This window comes from Homo sapiens, chromosome 6, assembly GCF_000001405.40.
Source record: "Homo sapiens chromosome 6, GRCh38.p14 Primary Assembly".
Taxonomy (NCBI): domain Eukaryota; kingdom Metazoa; phylum Chordata; class Mammalia; order Primates; family Hominidae; genus Homo; species Homo sapiens.
The window spans coordinates 75,082,518-75,101,261 of record NC_000006.12 but is presented as its reverse complement, the minus strand read 5'-3'; the positions used below and the strand labels follow the sequence as shown (position 1 = coordinate 75,101,261).

Sequence of the window (18,744 nt, the reverse complement as noted above, 5' to 3'; positions counted from 1 at the left end):
TCTTAGTTGTGAGGCAGCTTTTCTGTAACCATGAGGGTAGCCTTGACTCCCATAGCACTTTCTACAAACTCAAGACATCCTGTCTACACCTTTAGAACTCAAATACCACTTCTAGGCCTTGATGGTGGGGTAGACAGCTGGTATTTAGTAGGGAATTTGCCTGTTGGTAGCAGCTTTCAGGTTTGGTCTTGACTTAGCATGAAAGCAGTACAGGAAACCCAGTCTTCTCTAGGATAAGTTAATAAGAAGCATGGTGAACATGACCTCTATGTTCTGTTCATCAATAATGTGAAATATTTGGTTCCATAGGAGACCACAAATGCTTTAATAAAAAGAACCCAGAAATTTTAAGAGTTTCTCAGAACAAAGGAACTAATGACTTTCCAGCATCTTATGGTTCCAATAATAGTCTGAGAGTAGTTTGTATTTTGATTAATCAATCAAGTTAAAATATATGACTAGCAGCAGGATCTGAGGAAGCCAGTACTATAACAGCTGTCACTAAACATAAATCTATCAACCTTAACACCTCCAAGACACCATTGGGCAGAGAGGTAGGCCATTCAGAGGGAGCAAAGATTTGCCCTAAGATAATACAAAATGGTAGATGATATGCCAGTGAACTTTATTTGTTCCCATGCCTCCTTTTGAGTTTCGGGGAGAGAAAAGAGAGAGGTCAAAGAGAAAACTGTATTTTCTGGGATATGGGATGTGGAGGTAGTTCTGACATACACATCTTCTGACTCTTTTGAGACTGGCACTTTAGGTTTTTTTTTGAATTCTTATTTTACAGTAAAGGACAACAGTGAGAGTACATGGGTGACAAGTCAGTCTTCTTTATTAGAAAATAAACCCCAGAATATTGCAGCTGAGAAGTGGCAATGGGCTGACTTGCTTGCTGCTGCTACGACCGAAGCCTTGTTTCCATCACATCCACCCCAATGTGGGCTTCATGCAGACACACAGCGGGTTCCCTAGCACACTTCCCAGCAGGACTATCTTTCTGGACTGGTGCTCAGACAGCCATCACCATCAGGCAGCATAATTGCATCCCTGAAAAGTAAGGGACTGGAAGGGACTGTGCTCTTCCATTCTCAAATTCTAATCTGTGTCCAGCTTTGTGGTGAGGCCACCCTGGGATGAGGGCAAGAGAACTTTTCAGGAAACTGTTCTCCCTTTTCCTTCACAGCCTGTGTACCTACCTACTGCTTAGTAAACTACCACTAATGCAAAAAGGAGGGTGCATAGCTGGTGGGGTATCAACAATTTTAGAACATTAGAGAGACTTTGAGTATGGGAATCTCAGCTGAAACAAAACAAAACAAAACGTGAACTCAGTGGTGGAAGTGAAGAGAAGGAAGCACAAGAGATCAAGGCCAAGGGTTGTGGTGAGGAATGAAGACTTGTTAGCAGGATCAAGTAGGGAGAAACAAGATACAGAGATTGTCTTCAGCAGAGACGATTTTTGAAATGAGGCACAGTGCTGGTGGCTATTAGAAAGTAAAAAAAGAACCACATATACAGGTATCTGTACATGTGTATCTATGAAAATGGCCATCAGTCTTCTCAGCCCCCTCACTTGGTTAGAAGTGGAAATAACTGCTGTGGCTTGCAGCAAAAAATGAAGAATAAAATAAAATTGTGGCACAAAGTTCTGCAGATGGCATAGTGGGTAGCCTTTTTGAGTACTTCATAATAAATCTTCTTCACTCCAATTTACGAATATATTTCCTCTAAAAGGAAATGGTTGATCAGAAAGTTCTTAGACTGACTAAAGGAGGATTAATTATTTAGAAATACAATATTTACGATAAAAAATGAAAAAGAACATCCTATATAGTAGTTGGAGAAACTTGGGTGGAAGAAATTTTATTCAAATTGTCCAAGCAATATTATAGGGAATTTTTTTCTTAAGTGGCCCTTAGAAGTGATATTGGTGTTACATCAGATAGGCTTAGGATCTGTTTTTTGTTAATCAGGCCTAGATCTTCCGGAAAACAATCTGAAATCTTATCCCTAAAAGTTTCTGGAAAAAGTTTTTTTTTGGGGAAGTGGAATATTTCCAACAAATGTAAAAAGAATAATTTAAACTTCTATGGTAAAGTCAATGTACTAATAAAAAGTGTGGATAGTTAATTCAGGAAGAGCTCCAAATGGTCAACTTTTGTGAAAATCCAAGAATATGGATGAAATGATTACTTTCATTCTCTGCGGAAAATGAGACAAAAATCTCTGACAGAGGAATGCAACAACTCTAAAAAATGACCTGACTCAGAAATCCTCGGCTGGATTTCAGAGATCTGCTGTTGCGAGTGAATGCTAACTGGGTAGCAGGATGACTCATTCCAGGCAGAGGTCATTTGGCACTGTACAGAGAGAGAGAAAAAATAACATATAAATGTGGGCGCACGAGCCAGAGATCAAGCCTGTGGGGAGATGTGCTCTGTTCCTGCCTGGTGAACTGATGCTTAGGCAGTTCTGGCCTTTGTGTGTATTGAAGAGAGACAGAGCACTACAAAAATTAACTGCTTATTATCAGGATTGAGGATTTCCTCTCTTTTGAGTGGAGGGCAGTTAAGACAGCTTTACCTCTGTTTTTTTTTGAAATAGGGTCCCACTGTGTCACCCAGGCTGGAGTGCAGTGGTGCGATCACAGCTCACTGCAGCCCTGACCTCTCGGGCTCAAGTGATCCTTCCACCTTAGCCTCCCAAGTAGCTGGGACCACAGGTGTGTGCCACCATGCTTGGCTACTTTTTTTCTTTCACTTTTTTTAGTGACAGGGTCTTCTTATGTTGCCCAGGCTGGTCTTGAACTCCTGGGCTTAAGCAATCCTCCTGCCTTGGCCTCCCAAAGTGCTGGGATTGCAGGCATGAGCCATTGCATCCAGCCCAGCTTTGCCTCTTTTGGGAGAGGAAGAAAGAAATTCACCAGGAGTGGAGACATAAATAGTCCTGCTCTAACTGTCTGACAGTTGCTCAGGAAATGAGGAAGGGAGTTTTCTAATTAGGTGGTCAGGATTTTCCATATAGACTTCTCTATGTCTGTATGTATGGCAGGGTATGAAGACTTGAGAGCATGTGTTAAAATAATTTTATTATTTATGTTTAATGTATATTCTTAGATAAGGGCGAATTTAAATGTGTAGTAAACTTTCATGTTAAGTATTTACTACAGAGCTTAATATTTGCATATTTGGTAAAGGAATGTTTTATAAAATTTGATGATTCCATCTTAAGGAAATTTTAGGCTTTAGAACATGATGTATTGACCAGTACATATTATAAATATTCTATTAAATATATGGTTAAAATATCTGGAAGCTGTGGTAAAAGCAATAGGGAGAAATTCTTATTGTTTTTTTGGGGCTAAAGGGTGCTGATATGATGGAAGAGAATGAAGGTGCAGAGAACGCACCAAAGGGAAAAATGAATTTCTAAGCTGAGAGTCCAATTCCCAGCAGACAAAGGAAGACTCTGCCACCATAGTATCATCTTTTATGATACCGCTTGCTTTTCTCAGTAACTTTCCTTTCCTCTCACCTGCATCCTTCCTGGGCCAGCCTGTGGACATTGACTTTTCCATAGAATGGGTAAATCTTCCTTTAGACTTCTTTATGCTATTACAAAAACAAAAAATAATATCTTCATGAAGGGAATCTGCCTTCCTGGGAGAAGATTAGTTTGGCTCTTAAAATTGTTTTATTTATAACTATACAAGTGAATGAGCATAGAAATTAATTATTCAGTAAAAGGCATAAGTTAAACTGAAAAGATTTTTTAATTTTTTAATTTTATTTTTTTTGCTGTTTGTCTTTTTATTGAAAGCTTACCTCCCAAACAGCATGTTGGGCTAAATCCTTCTCTTCAGCCTTCAGCTTTAGCAACCTGTTTAGCATCTTTTCTTTTCACTTGCTTATGACCTCCCTAACTGTAATTACTTTCATTTTTACAATAGGGCTTCACTGGAAAAGACGGTGCAATGGGACCCAGGGGCCCACCAGGGCCGCCGGTAAGAACTAAATGTGTCTCATTTTTGTGCCCTTCACTCCCACCCTCTCACCTCATTTTGCTAGTAACCTGCCTTTGAAGCACATTCCATCTGTGCTGTGGAGTATATCATTGAGGGAACTGTGTTTTTATTTACCTACATCAAAATGTGCTAGAGAAAACAGACGTGTTAAAATACAGAATCTTTCAGTTTAATCAAGTTACACTTGAGAAAAAGAAAAAGAAATCCCTAACTAACTGGCTACCAGCTGGTTGGTGCCTCAGTTTCTTCATCCCTACATTAAGTGGTTGGGTTTTATAACCTCGGTGGTTCGGTTATTTCCTGTTACAGAATTTTTTTTTTTTTTTTTTTTTTTTTGAGACGGAGTCTCGCTCTGTCGCCCAGGCTGGAGTGCAGTGGCGGGATCTCGGCTCACTGCAAGCTCCGCCTCCCGGGTTCACGCCATTCTCCTGCCTCAGCCTCCCGAGTAGCTGGGACTACAGGCGCCCGCCACTACGCCCGGCTAATTTTTTGTATTTTTAGTAGAGACGGGGTTTCACCCTTTTAGCCGGGATGGTCTCGATCTCCTGACCTCGTGATCTGCCGGCCTCGGCCTCCCAAAGTGCTGGGATTACAGGCGTGAGCCACCGCGCCCGGCCCCTGTTACAGAATTTTAAGAATCTGTGCCTATAACATTTAAATTTCAAGAACTTTATTATTGAACAGCCATCAGTTGTTCTGAGGAAGTCAGTTTTATCTACAACTAAAAGGGTCTTCAACGTAAGATATTGGGAAAATACTGAAACTAATGATTTTGAAACTGGCATCTGTATACTTGCATCCAGGTGAGATCGCAGTAAAATTGTTTGAGGTGATGGATAGCCTCCATGTCTGTGTGGCAGGATACTCAAGAGCATATGTTAAAATAATTTTATTATTTATGTTTAAAATATAGATCTTTAGGTAATGGGGGATTTAAATGCACAGCAAACTTTCATGTTAAGTATTTACTATAGAGATTAACATTTGCATAATTAATGGAGTAAAGGATTGCTTGACAAAATCTGAACATTCCATTTTAAGAAAATTTTAGGCTTTAGAACATGACATATTGGCCAGTACATATTATAAACATTCTATTAAATATAGGGCCAAAATGTCTGGAAGCTGTGGTAAAAGCAACAGGGAGAAAATCTTATGATTTTGGTGGGGTTAAGGGTGCTGACATGATGGAAGGGAATGAAAGTGTGGAAAATGCTCCAAAGGGAAAAATGAATTTCTAAGCTGAGAGTGCAATTCCCAGCAGACAAGGGAAGACTCTGCCACCATGGTGCCCAACTTAGCACAAAACTGGCCACCTTCTTAATTCTTCTCCAGCCTAAATTTTCAACCTCTGTGTTTTGAAAGATTGTCTGGTCTTGTAGTAGGAAACTTAAAAAAAAAGGGAATTGCTTTCTGCACATCCACTTTGTAACCAATTTACTAGGATCATAGTCTTAAATTGTGAAACTGATTATATACATATGCGTGTATTTTTCAACTGGTCTCAAAATATATTTTAAAACTATATAGTCCATAAGGATTGCACTGTAGTTGTCAAGAGTTTTTTATTTCATGTTATCTTTTTTTTTTTTTTTTTTTTTTTTTTTTGAGACGGAGTCTCGCTCTGTCGCCCAGGCCGGACTGCGGACTGCAGTGGCGCAATCTCGGCTCACTGCAAGCTCCGCTTCCTGGGTTCACGCCATTCTCCTGCCTCAGCCTCCCGAGTAGCTGGGACTACAGGCGCCCGCCACCGCGCCTGGCTAATTTTTTGTATTTTTAGTAGAGACGGGGTTTCACCTTGTTAGCCAGGATGGTCTCGATCTCCTGACCTCATGATCCACCCGCCTCGGCCTCCCAAAGTGCTGGGATTACAGGCGTGAGCCACCGCGCCCGGCCCTATTTCATGTTATCTTAAAATTTGGTTTTATTTTTCCTGAATGTGTAATTATGAGTTGTTTCATTTAAACGCGTTTAAAACAGGCTGTATTCATTTACTTTAGATGGGATTTTCCCTTTGTCATAACAGTCCCCTTCCCTTTCCATGTGTTGTAGGGAAGCCCAGGCTCCCCAGGAGTCACAGGACCAAGTGGGAAGCCAGGAAAACCTGGAGATCATGGCAGACCAGTAAGCGGACAGCTTGCATGTCTACTGACAGTGGTTTCACCGTGGAAATAAATAATGAGAACTGCAAAGCTTTGTTATATTTAGGTTATCTCTGCTGTAATGTGTTTGAAGCATTTGTTGAAACCATGCTAAACTCATGGATTTGACTTGGTACTAGTTCAAAATTTTTCTCTCTGGGTTGTTATAATATTCTGGGATGAAAATTGTGGTTACTGGGTTTCTTTAAAAGGAGAATGGGATTATGAGCCAAGACACATATTTCTGCGCTGTATAAACACTCAGAGCTGGGTCAGCAAAATGATTCTTTTTACTTAGGAGTGGTATGCTGCTTAAGATGGAAAAATACATGACGATGGTGCACAGCGCCTCCATCCCTAGCTTGCTAATGTTAACCCTTTTGTGGCATTATCCAGCTTTCCATTTGTTCTTTTGTATCTAGTTGAGGAGGCTAGAACATCAGAACCAGAATTAAAATTATTTATTAACTTTATCATTTTACTTTTTTAATACTGTCCTGCCCCAATTTATACCCCATTTAACTTTCTCTTATGCAGATATTTTGGTTAAAATAATAGTTGAGATAGTAGTACACATATTTAGTATTTCCAAATTAGTATCTCCAAAACTGAATTTGAAGTTTCTAAAATATACACAAATATTTGTAATGAGTGTTGGGCTTCATATTTTTTACAAGCTTTTCCTTTTTTTGTATTTATGAAGTGTGAATTTATTTAAGCAATTTTTTTTGTCCAAATAGCATCCTGAAATATAAAAATTTATCTTAAAGACAATTAAGTCCAACTATTAGCAGTGACAAAAATTTGTCAGGGCTCTTCTCTGGACAGAATTTCTCCTTTTTAAAGCATTGTTCAAATTTTACAAACCCGAGTTAAAAAAAAAGTAATTTCAGAGAGACTTAGAATTGGACATTTATGTGATATGGCTTGCCTTGTATGATTCATAAAATTAAGCAGGCAACATAAAGATAGAAGGACTCCTGATATATTAGGTTAAAAAGAATGACAAAAACCATAATTACGTTTGCACCAACCTAAATACTTTAAAAACTGCGTGTACCCTAGCATGTGACTTTAGTACTCTCTTTTCCTCAATGGATCATGGTAGAAACTTTGCAAGTGCAATTATAAGTATATGAAACTTTTCTACCCATTCAGCATTTCATTTTGTTTTACTATGACCTCAGTAGTGTCTTATATAAGAATATTACTCATATAATTGATGGCTGTAGCTAGAAGCCTAAAAGAAATGTCTACAGCTATTACTTGAAATATGATCTCTAAATATCGGCAATAAAGATGATTTCTACAAATCATGAACAATAGGACAATCTCAGAGTGCCAATAAATTAAAAAAAATCAGAACAATCTCAAAATAGCAGTAAATGTAAAAAATCCTGCATTTGTAAAATGCTCCAAATACAATATGTGTTTCCACAAAAATCCAATACTTTTGGCAAAGAAATAGATAACTCTAGTTTTTCTTACGATAATTATAATTTGGTATACATTTATTTAGACCCCAGCACTTCCCCTTTTCTCCTTCATTTTCCTCGTCCTTCAAAAGTAGCAAATTTCCTCTTTTTTTCTTCCCTATTTTATCTTACCTTCCTCTAATTAATGAAACCAAACATAGCATATAGGTATATATAGGTCTTAGCAGAGAGCTTGGCTTAATCATTGTTAGCTTATGTCATTAGCTATTATAATCAGTTGATATCTTCTTGCTAACTTATAGTACCTGATATTCTATAGGAGATGTTTCCATGAGATGTTCATAGAATACTTCATTAGTAAACACATATTTGTTTAGTGCCTACAATATGCTAGCCAGTGTTCTAGGGTCAGGTGATATAACAGCAAACAAGACAAAATTCTTGCCTTCATAGACATTCTGGGGGGTATATAGACAAAACCATGTAAATATAGGTTCCCGTGATAATGAGTGTTATGAAGAAGAAACAGAGTAAGGGGTTAGAGAATGATTGTGCTGGTGGGAAGGCAGCTATTTTGGATACAGTCATCTAGGAACCTCTCTGACAAGGTGACATTGGGATGAAATGAGGGAGAAAGCTATTTGATCTATGGAAAGAGGGTTCCAGGCAGAGGAAACAGCATGAATGAAAGCCTTGGCTGAGGAACGAGACTGACATGTGAAAGGAACATCCAACAGGTCTGGGTACCAAAGTGAAGGGAGTTAAATGGAGAGGGATAAAATATGAGGTCAGATAGCTAGGCATAGATGATCATATGGACCATGTAGCCCATGATAAGGAATTATTATTTTCCTCTAAATCTGATGGGAATGGGATGGGTGGCTCTTAGAGCCAAAGGAGTTACATGATCTAATTTTTCTTTAAAAAATATCATTCTGGTTTTTGTGTGGAGAATAGACTATAATGTAGCAAAATGGGGAGAAGGGAGAGCAGTTAGGAGGGTATTGGAGTAGTTTCAGGCAAGAGTCTTGGTTTGGACTGCAGTGGTTTCCATGGGGATGGTGAGAAGTGATTTGTCAATGATTTAGATGTTCCTTCGGTGATAGCAGTTGGCAGCCTGGAAATATATAACTGAAAGACAAAAACTTGTTGCACTCTAAGGAAAACTTTTCCAATATCTCTTATGGTGAGAGGCTTATGACAGTGTAGGGACAAATATTCTATGCTTGTATTTAGATGTAGGATCAGATTGAGTTATTTAATAAGAGAAAAACCCAGTTTCTTTTTTTTAATTGTAGAATATTTTTATTATTATACTTTAAGTTCTGGGGTACATGTGCAGAATATGCAGGTTTGTTACATAGGTATACACGTGCTATGGTGGTTTGCTGCACCCATCAACCCATCACCTACATTAGGTATATTTCCTAATGTTATCCCTCCCCTAGCCCCTGACCCCCCAACAGGCCTGTGTGATGTTTCCCTCCCTGTGTCCATGTGTTCTCATTGTTCAACTCCCAATTATGAGTGAGAACATGCAGTGTTAGGTTTTCTGTTCTTGTGATAGTTTGCCGAGAATGATGGTTTCCAGCTTCAACCCAGTTTCTTTTATCTCAAATGTACAAAGAATCACTGGATGAAGTTAAGGGATATATATTGAGCTAAGCTGCTGACAACAGCCTGCTGGTTCTTAGTGAGACTGAATGGAGACTAATCTCATGGACGTTCCACAATAAGCAGCTCAGATAACCAACTATGATGATATAAAGCAAAGTATGGCGGTACAAGGGCAATCTTCATATGTATTTTAGTTCCATATGTATCATGAATTGCATTGTAAAAAGTGTGCATGGTCCATAACTTTTACAATTGTGACCACAAAATTCACATCTGTGCACTATTTTGGAGGACATGTGCTTCAGAGAGAGAGAGAGAAAGAGAGAGAGAGAGAGAGATTAGATTCCTTTTTATAGAAAAGCAGAATGTGAGTAACATGGATATAAATGTGATGTGTCATTTTGCTAATGCTTTAGAAAACAGAACTTGTTCTCGTTCATCATTATGTCTATTCATGCATCATTTTAGAGTATGTTTGTCAGTTTCTAATGTATGTAATTCATATTTTTCAGGGTCCATCTGGGTTGAAAGGAGAAAAAGGTGATAGGGTATGTATTTTTAAAAAATCTTACGTTTATTTTGTGTGTTAAACATTGAAGCCTAAAACTATAGAACTAATATGCTAATCATTCTCATTAATTCAACAAGGGAGACATTGCTTCCCAGAACATGATGCGAGCAGTTGCAAGACAAGTCTGTGAACAATTGATAAGTGGTAAAATTTCTTTTCTTTTTACTGTATGAATTGTTTTAAAATTAATTGCAGGAAAATGCAGAGTTTGAGTCATGAAGTTTCTAAGAGATAGATTTCTCTTTCATTTCATTTGATAAGCTTTTGTTCTTATACATTGTCAGTTTTGTATCTGATTAGATGAAGTTAATGATATTTTAAAGATTGTCACTAAGATAAAATAATAACCCAAGGTAAAATAATAGCAGTAAACTTAAGTACTAAGACATCAGATATTTTAAGTTAAGATCTTTAAGTCATTTTATGACCTTAAGGAAGGGGGCCCACCAAGATGAATTTGATCAGTGAAAGTTGATTTTGGTAGGAAACTCTCTCTTGCCTGTTTTTCACAGGCTCTTCTTATTCCATAAGGCCTGTTAAGTAATGAAGCTCAGTACCTGCAGACTGGTGTGGGCCTTAAACCCATAACTCACTCTTAGAGAAGTCTTAATCAATGTTTTCCAAAGTGCGGTACTGAGGAACACCTGCCTTAGAATCACTTATGTTGCTTGTTAGAAGTGAGTTCCTGCACCATGCCCTAAGCTTAGTGAATCATTGACTTTGGAGATAAGGCCCAGAAATACAGATTTTTCAAGGTGCCCCACAGGCAATTCCAGTTTGCACTGAAACCTGATTATCATTGCCTTAGATATACAAAAAATTGTAGAATTATCTAATTATAAAAAAGGTTTTCTTTTGAGTGATGTCACCTGGTAAATCTCAAGACTTTATTTCAGAGCCATATTAAACTTTAACAACTCTTTTATATTTGTAGTAATGTTTGTGGCTTGTAGGTCAGCATTTTGTGGAAACAGTTATTTATCAGGGACCATTTTGTCCTCGATGATTAGACTGTCTTAATTTTATTTTTAGGATTCTAATTAGATTGTTTCCTTAGAGGGGTTGCAGAATGGAGATGGATTTCACTAGACACTAAGAGAAAACAGTTTCACTCTCTCATCCGTCCTTTATTGGGTTTCTTACTAACAAGCCTTATTTCTGCTTGTAGGTCAGATGAACAGATTCAATCAGATGCTGAATCAGATTCCAAATGATTACCAGTCCAGTCGCAACCAGCCAGGCCCGCCGGGTCCACCGGGACCTCCTGGTAGCGCAGGAGCCAGAGGAGAACCTGGGCCTGGGGGGCGGCCAGGCTTCCCGGGCACACCAGGGATGCAGGGACCCCCTGGGGAACGAGGTAGGCATTTCTGGCTTCTGTATTGGGATAAAGGAAGGAATTTGCAAATGTAGGAGTTGGGACAGGTTGAAGGCATCTGAAAGGTGACCTAGGCAAACTGCTTTCCCTGGTCTTGTTTGGACAGCCTCAGAAGAGCTGTTAGGCAACTCATAGGCCATAGAGATCCATGTCTTAGAAAAATGGTATGTTTTTATCAGATCTCAGTAAAGATAATGCTATTTTCTGACTTTTGTTGTTTTTAATGGGAAAAACTCTATCTTGGCAAACTAAATCAGCTACCCAAATCTTATTACTCTCTGTGACTGCGGCAAGAGTCGAGCAGCAACTGAATGTTCTTAGGCAGCCCTAGAGTTTTAGATCCAACTTATTTTGGTTCCTTTATTCAGGGTCTGGCACTGGTCTTGTATGTTTGTTTGGCTCTAATTTCATGGTATAGATAACTGCAGTTGAAGGAAAAGGAGAAAAACAGGACTATTTGATTCCAGATATTTCAGGATTCTGGGTATCCACTTTTGTCAAAGGAGTACTTAATACTCTAGAGAAAACCTACATATTTCTATAATTCTACTGGTTTGGCTGCTGTACTAATAGGGCTACTAAAGATAAAATACCTTTAATATGTTTTTCAATGAGATATTATAACAATTTCTTCAGGATTACTGTTCCTAATTACTATTTAAAAATATATTAGACATGTTTGTTTGCTTCAAATAATTTTTCCCCTGCCTTGTAGCCAAATTTTTTCTTGGCCATAAATCTAGAATTACACAAATGTCTAGAAAGAACTTGGCTTAAAGAGTGAACTTCTGTGAAAAATTAGGTTCTGCTTTCACTAAGGAAATGAATTACTTGAATCAAATATTATCAGTTAAGATGAAAATTACATGCTTCCAGATAATTTTTCCCCTGTGCTTTCTCTTTTTCTCCCTCCTTAGGTTTGCCAGGAGAGAAAGGTGAAAGGGGTACTGGATCTTCAGGACCTCGGGGGCTGCCTGGCCCCCCAGGTAGGTTTGCTAGTATTTTAAACAGGCAAAGACTATAAATACCGAGAGGGCACACCATCCCGAAGAGATTCACAACTTCATCCTGTTATTCTTTTTTTTGTTTTTGAGACGGAGTCTTGCTCTGTCACCCAGGCTGGAGTGCAGTGGCGCGATCTTGGCTCACTGCAAGCTCCACCTCCTGGGTTCACGCCATTCTTCTGCCTCAGCCTCCCGAGTAGCTGGGACTACAGGCGCCCGCCACCACGCCTGGCTAATTTTTTTTAATTTTTAGTAGAGACGGGGTTTTGCCGTGTTAGCCAGGATGGTCTCGATCTCCTGACCTCATGATCTTCCCACTTTGGCCCCAAAGTGCTGGGATTACAGAAGTGAGCCACCGCTCCCAGCCAACTTCATCCTGTTATTATAGCATAAAGCATTCTTATTACCATGGCATATGTTTTAGCAAGAAGTTCAACCTCCATAACTTCATTTTCATGTTCCCTTTGTTAAAAAAATGAAAAGTTTCTATTAGGCATTAACTATAACATTAATATATGATGAAATGAATTTTAGTGACACAAAGGGTTACTATTTCCCCTTTCTGTCTCCTTCCTTCCTTCCCTTTTCCTTCCTTCCTTCCTTCCTCCCTTCCTATTTGTTTTTTTTTTGGCCTCATAGACTTTAAAGATGGTTATATTTCCTGTTTTTTCCAGTAGTCTTCAATATGGGGCTATTAGACTGAGAAAACATAGCCTCACTAAAAGGGCCTGAGATATTGGTAAATTTCATTCACTGCTCTCCCAAAGCATTTTTATATTTTGGATAGGACTACTACATGTCTGTCTGATGCATTTTGTTTACTAGGTTGTAAATGATTTCTTTTTTCATTATAAGGCACATGATACCCTTGCAACCAAGGACAGCCCTATGGCTAAATCTTTCCATTTATGTTAACTATAACTATTGATCCAGAAACAATATTGCTTTGCATAGGCTGGAGGTGTGGAGCAGACGCTGCCTTCTTTTGATGGCAGCTCAATGTAGCTGCTTAACAGAGCTGTTTCCTTCAGGTGCTCTTTTCTCTGTGAGAGTGGGAGCAAACCAAAGAACTCACTGATATCTCTGGTTTGGCTGAATTTTTGCTAAATCAGGTTTTCTGGAATAAAATACTTCTGGCATTAACTCTGATGAGTCACTGGTAAGAAAGTTCCATCACACCTTGGTTCATATTGGGTATTTCTTAAGGAAACATTTTCTTACCATACAATAGTAAATTGTCTAATTTTGAGACAGTGGAGGTGCCACTTAAAGTATTGGTGGCTACCTCAGGAGTTGTATTTGACAAGAGGGGAAATATATTTGTTTTAACTCCACACTAGGTCCACAAGGAGAATCCAGAACAGGTCCACCAGGGTCCACAGGTTCAAGAGGTCCCCCTGGCCCCCCTGGCCGTCCTGGAAACTCAGGTATCCGAGGACCCCCAGGTCCTCCTGGATACTGTGATTCTTCTCAGTGTGCCAGCATCCCATACAACGGGCAAGGCTATCCAGGTACGTTGTTGCCATTGTAGGAACCCCAACTCACCTGAAGTAAAGAACTTTACGGAAATGAAGTTCCTTAGGATTGAAGGAAGGCTGATTTGAAGATGTCTTGAAGATAACAACTCTTTCAGTTCTGATTATATAATAATAGTGTTTGCTATCATAGCACACAACATTATTTCACTGTTAGGATTGAATTATTTTCTTTTTTCCCCATGTTTCTGCATTTACCAAATCACATCATAAACCTCCCCTTACTTCTCTTGGGACTTCAAAGCATGCTAGTAATTGACTTTTTTTTTTTCTTTTCCCCAAGATTGGGAACAGGGATTTGTTAAATACAACTGTAAAATGCCAAGAATATGTATTTAAAAATTGTTTTGGGAATCTAATTTATGGGTAAACTATGTAATAATATGGTGTAGACAACTGAACATAGTTAACTGTCCCATACTAGCCATGGAATTAATATTTATAAAATCTGGGACTTAATAATTGTTTTTAAAGGATTTTTAATGAAATTCTAGTGTTTGACAATTGTAGAGGGCAGAAGTCTCCTATACTTGATTTTGTGGGATGTGAGGACTGGGTAGATATGCCAATCTGGAAATAAGATAGTCATGCTGTGGTCAATGGCGACCATTTCATTACTGCACCCTCAAGCATCTTGCAAATTTAAAAAATTATACTGCTGTTTGATATGATTTGCTACTTTCAAATAGTGCATGAGTAGTTGAATATCTAAATATCTATATATCTATATATTTATATGCATAATTACATATGACCAAAAGTAATAACAAATCTTAATGTATATTTCCATGCAACCCATTCAAAAAATTGCAATTTAATTCTTTATAAATTTAAATTACCACCTCCTTATGGGATGTGAGAATAACTAAAAATATATGGATATATATATATATATATATATATACTTTAACCATTACATACGTAGATGGATGTGTATTTATATTTTTTACTTAGTCATTCAACTTTTAAAAACTATCATCTTTGACCTGTTTCAGGTTCCGGCTAACACATTTTCTAAGTCGCCAGTGCTGCTTACAGTTTGAATACATGAAAATCCTGTTTCTGAGATGTTTGCGCACGTGCTTATTAGGAAATGAGTCTGTATGGAAATCTCACCACAGATAATGGTTAACGAACCGGGTCGACATCACAAAGGAGGGTGGAGACTCTTTTTACTAACTTGAATGAGACAAAAGCAGTGGTGTCAGTTTATAATCCTGATGCATTTCAGTAATAATGTAGAAAAACATTATTTTAAAAAAGTTCCAACACACAGCCATGAGGAGCCTCAGTTTTGAAAGAGGTGCATAATAAAACTACTAACCAGAGGAGTCTATGCCATTTTAAGAAAAACAATTAACCTGGTTAAAGAGAAATGTCTTATGTAAATAATAAACTAATTGTGGCTTGTAAATGATTTGTATGTGATCCTGTCGACTAAAATCACTTAACAATTCTACAATAAGCTTCTGCATCAAAGCCTGCCGCTTGCTCTATGCCGGAATAACACCAAATGGAATCTCCTCATCTCTTGCTTGTTAGCGATGTGTCTGATTCAGGGCATCTGTCTTTTTGTTACTTTTTTGTCCGTGTCCTCTCATTTGGGTTTTGTAACTGCAATTTTCAAACCAAAGTTTAAAATCACCTTTTCTTCCTGTTTTGCTGTAGTCACTGGTGTTCCTCACCCACCAGCTGTAACTCAGTTTGTGTGAGGTACAGCCACAGAAGATGTCATGTACTGTATATTACCTGGTGATAGTTGCTTTTCACCCCCCGAGTTCAGTTTCTAGGAGCCAATGAAACTTCCCCTCACCTCCTCATCTTTCCAAGTTGTTCTTTGAATTGAGGAGTTTGAAGGCATAAACAGTTACTTGGGGATTTGCGAAAATCCTACTTAGTTACTGCGTTTACAGTTCTTTGGCCCAGTCTCTGACCCTTCCCAAGTATTTGTGCAATGATTGTGTTTACTGCTGGATTTTTGAAGGTTTTTTTTTTTAAGAAAGTGCCATTTCATTATTTGATTATCACCAAATTATCTGGAAATAATTGGGACATTGTAACTTATCTATTTATAGTTATGAGATTAAGACTGGAGTGCCATCACCGCGGGTGATGATTTAGCTTTTGCTGTGTGTGTGTGTGTGTGCCTTCCAAATCATGCCATAATTGTAATGTTGAATCGGACAGAGCCTTACGTGCCCGAGGGCGGGGCCTACCTGCCTGAGCGCGAGCCCTTCATCGTGCCGGTGGAGCCCGAGCGGACAGCGGAATACGAGGACTACGGCGCAGACGAGCCTGCAGAGGAGCCTCCTGAGCCCCACCGGCGCTGGCGGCGCGCCCTGCCCCACGGACCCGGGCAGTGAACCAGAGATCACGCGCCGCGCCGCGAGGCTTGGGGGAGGTGTTGAAATTCTCATTTACAGGTCAGATAGAGCAGTGTACGTCTTTTCTGAGGTGTTTCTTCCAGCGTTGCTCATCCAGGAGTACCCTTTCTGATTGTAGAGAACCTTGTTTCTGCAGGAAGCCTAGCTCCAAGCACGCAGTCTGTAGACATTTTTGCCTTTGCCCTTGAAATGCTTGCAAAATACTTTGTTAACAAAAGCTGCAAAGAGAGAACATGCCGTGTGCCTTTAGTTAGCACAGCGGGCAGCCTCAGTGAAACTCTTAGGTTAAGCAGTTAAGTCCTGGAACCCAGAGCTGCTGTGTATTTCGAGCGGGCAGTTTATCTTTTGCTATACTTATTTTCAATTCAATTACACCACGATTCAAATAATTCCCCTCCTAAAACCAAAAAGGAGGGAAACGTCAACTCCATTGCAATTACTTATCTTCCTCTTCTATCTCTGTTATACGCCGGGGCATAGAATGCTCGTATACATCTCTTTAACAACCACAAACCTTAAGCCATGTAGATGAAGTTAGTGCATCAACGGGATACAGTTCCATATTGCCTTAAACCTCCTTGTTTTAGACACACTAACATTTATACCAAATTGCAGATTATTCTGCAGAGAGGGAATTGCATGTTTGTGTTGTATATTTAGTATGAACTTTTTTCAGAATATAATATTTCTTAGTTATCAAAAGTAGTTGGAAAACATTTGCAAGACTATGAACATAGAATTGCTGCTTTTATATTTTAACTGCAGATTGTGAATTTCACTGCCTTATATTATTTATTTCTGAAACAAAAGAGGCATTTTTCAATAAAACTACTGAAAATTTGACATGGCATGTTTCTTTCTTTGAAGGGCCTTTTGGACTGCCTCAAGTGGTTGTTACAACAAACAAGTTCATATCCTTGGATACGGTTACAAATCTTGCTAATACTATTAAATTATGCTAAATAACTTTAGATTTTTAATGATACGGTGAAGTCATAGAAAGAGAGTGGTGAGAGCCTTAAAAAGCCCAGCAGATTCCAAAGGCTTTATTAGGAATATAGAGGATGTGTGGGTTGGTGGAAAAACAACTATGTATCCTAGGATACCCCAAACAACCAAATAATCTCTAATAACCCACACGATTTCGTATGCATTTAATCACTTTTCTATACCATACTTAACCCAAAAACATGTTTAATTGCTAGAAGGAAAATTCCATAATGGAAAATTTTACATTTAGCGATGCCTTGCTTTTCCACTTACAAATGCAATAAAACCATTCTAAATATCAAGGAAAACAATGTAAATGTTGGTATGAAAGAACCAATATCAATTAAAGAGAGAGGAGTAGTGATAGAAAGTTTTCCATAGACCAAAACATCTGAATTAAGTACCTCCTGGAGATGAGGATCAAAACGAACAGATGACACATAAATGCATTACATTTAGGAGGCGTCAAGCAGGTTGCTAAACTCATAGCATTCACTTGTAATTCCCAACACGTGCACTTTTGAAGCTAGAAGATACTGCTGAGACTATCCCAGACCAACCCAATTATTTTGCTTTGCTGGGAAGAAACAGACTGCTAATTAATATTAGAACAAGACTAAGACTCTGGGCCTTGTGATTCTTAACCTAGTTTATCACTAGATGGCCTCCCCCACTCCCATCTTCTTACTCTCTGGGCAGAAGCTTTCAAACCTCCAAGTTCCATCAGTTTATTTTGATTAGTTTCTGATTCATTGGGGTTTCTGATGCTTCTTGATGAAGAACATGTGTATCAAGACCCTGAAGATGGGTGGGTCCTCAGCCACTGATCTGGTGGAGTCCCAGGGCCACGTGGATTCAAGGCATAAAGAAATTGAACCTTCTATCACTGGCTAGATGTGGGTTTGATTCTTGATGTTGGCAATGCGCTGATTAACCACTTTCTATTCTGTTCTGGGAACTTGGGGCCGAGGCAATCCAAACCAGGGGCTAAGCACAAAATTAATAACTAGCTGAGATGCTTGTTGTGATTTTTTTTTCATAGTATATTTACTTAATTGTGTTTGCTGGATTCTGTGTTAAAATTACTTTTATAATCCTTGATTGAGCACATACGGACTAAACAATGGGGAGAAGAGGACAGATAGTCTGTCTTTAAAAACTCACGGAAAAACTACAAGAAATCTAACATGTAGGTGCTGGTTTATTTATCCAAACTTTTTTTTGAGGAGAATACAGAACAACTTGAAACACTTTTTCTAGCCTTTTCCATTTGGAAGCATTATAAGAAATTCCTTATGTGCAATGTATATTTGGAACTAGGGCTCTCATTTTTTAGAAAGTAGCCTGAAATAAACATGGGGAGAAGTTATAGCTTCTCATGAAGTCTACAGTGGGAAAGATTTCAAAATTTACAAATAGCATTTATATGGGTCCTAATTTCTGAGTATTTTTATAGACTATTTGTGCAATGATTTAGCAAGTTTAACAGAAGTTTGCACGTATATTTTCTTAAATACATGAGCATCCATTTTTGACTTTATTCAGAATTTTGCTACCTGGGCAGTTGCCCAAGCTTACATTTTATTTTTTGTGCAAAAAAGGTCAGTATAATCGTTCCTAAATATTTGTTATTCATTATATCTTTTACATTGCATTTGGCA

The 18,744-nt window shown here is 38.5% G+C and overlaps 1 protein-coding gene across 10 annotated transcripts in view, besides 1 other annotated feature; it reads left to right on the top strand.

Annotated features, from left to right (window-relative positions):
* The window catches only part of COL12A1 (collagen type XII alpha 1 chain), a 121,728-nt gene extending 104,792 nt beyond the window's left edge, over positions 1-16,936 (top strand). For 5 of the 10 annotated variants that reach the window (NM_001424116.1, XM_011535435.2, NM_001424113.1 and 2 more), the window contains 8 exons: positions 3,956-4,009; positions 6,083-6,154; positions 9,737-9,772; positions 9,873-9,939; positions 10,964-11,152; positions 12,088-12,156; positions 13,515-13,685; positions 15,897-16,936. In NM_001424116.1, the coding sequence (NP_001411045.1) occupies positions 3,956-4,009; positions 6,083-6,154; positions 9,737-9,772; positions 9,873-9,939; positions 10,964-11,152; positions 12,088-12,156; positions 13,515-13,685; positions 15,897-16,072 (834 nt within the window). In that variant the 3' untranslated portion in view covers positions 16,073-16,936. Of the gene's footprint in view, positions 1-3,955; positions 4,010-6,082; positions 6,155-9,736; positions 9,773-9,872; positions 9,940-10,963; positions 11,153-12,087; positions 12,157-13,514; positions 13,686-14,704 lie in introns of all 10 variants that reach the window. The other 5 variants (NM_080645.3, NM_001424115.1, NM_001424114.1 and 2 more) reach the window with 1 other exon arrangement.
* Positions 16,039-16,561: an enhancer, noted in NCBI's record as "NANOG-H3K27ac-H3K4me1 hESC enhancer chr6:75794417-75794939 (GRCh37/hg19 assembly coordinates)". NCBI's record gives its function as "activates a minimal SCP1, AML or CMV promoter by ChIP-STARR-seq in primed H9 embryonic stem cells {active_cell/tissue: H9 hESC(primed)}" and the evidence as "EXISTENCE:reporter gene assay evidence [ECO:0000049][PMID:30033119]".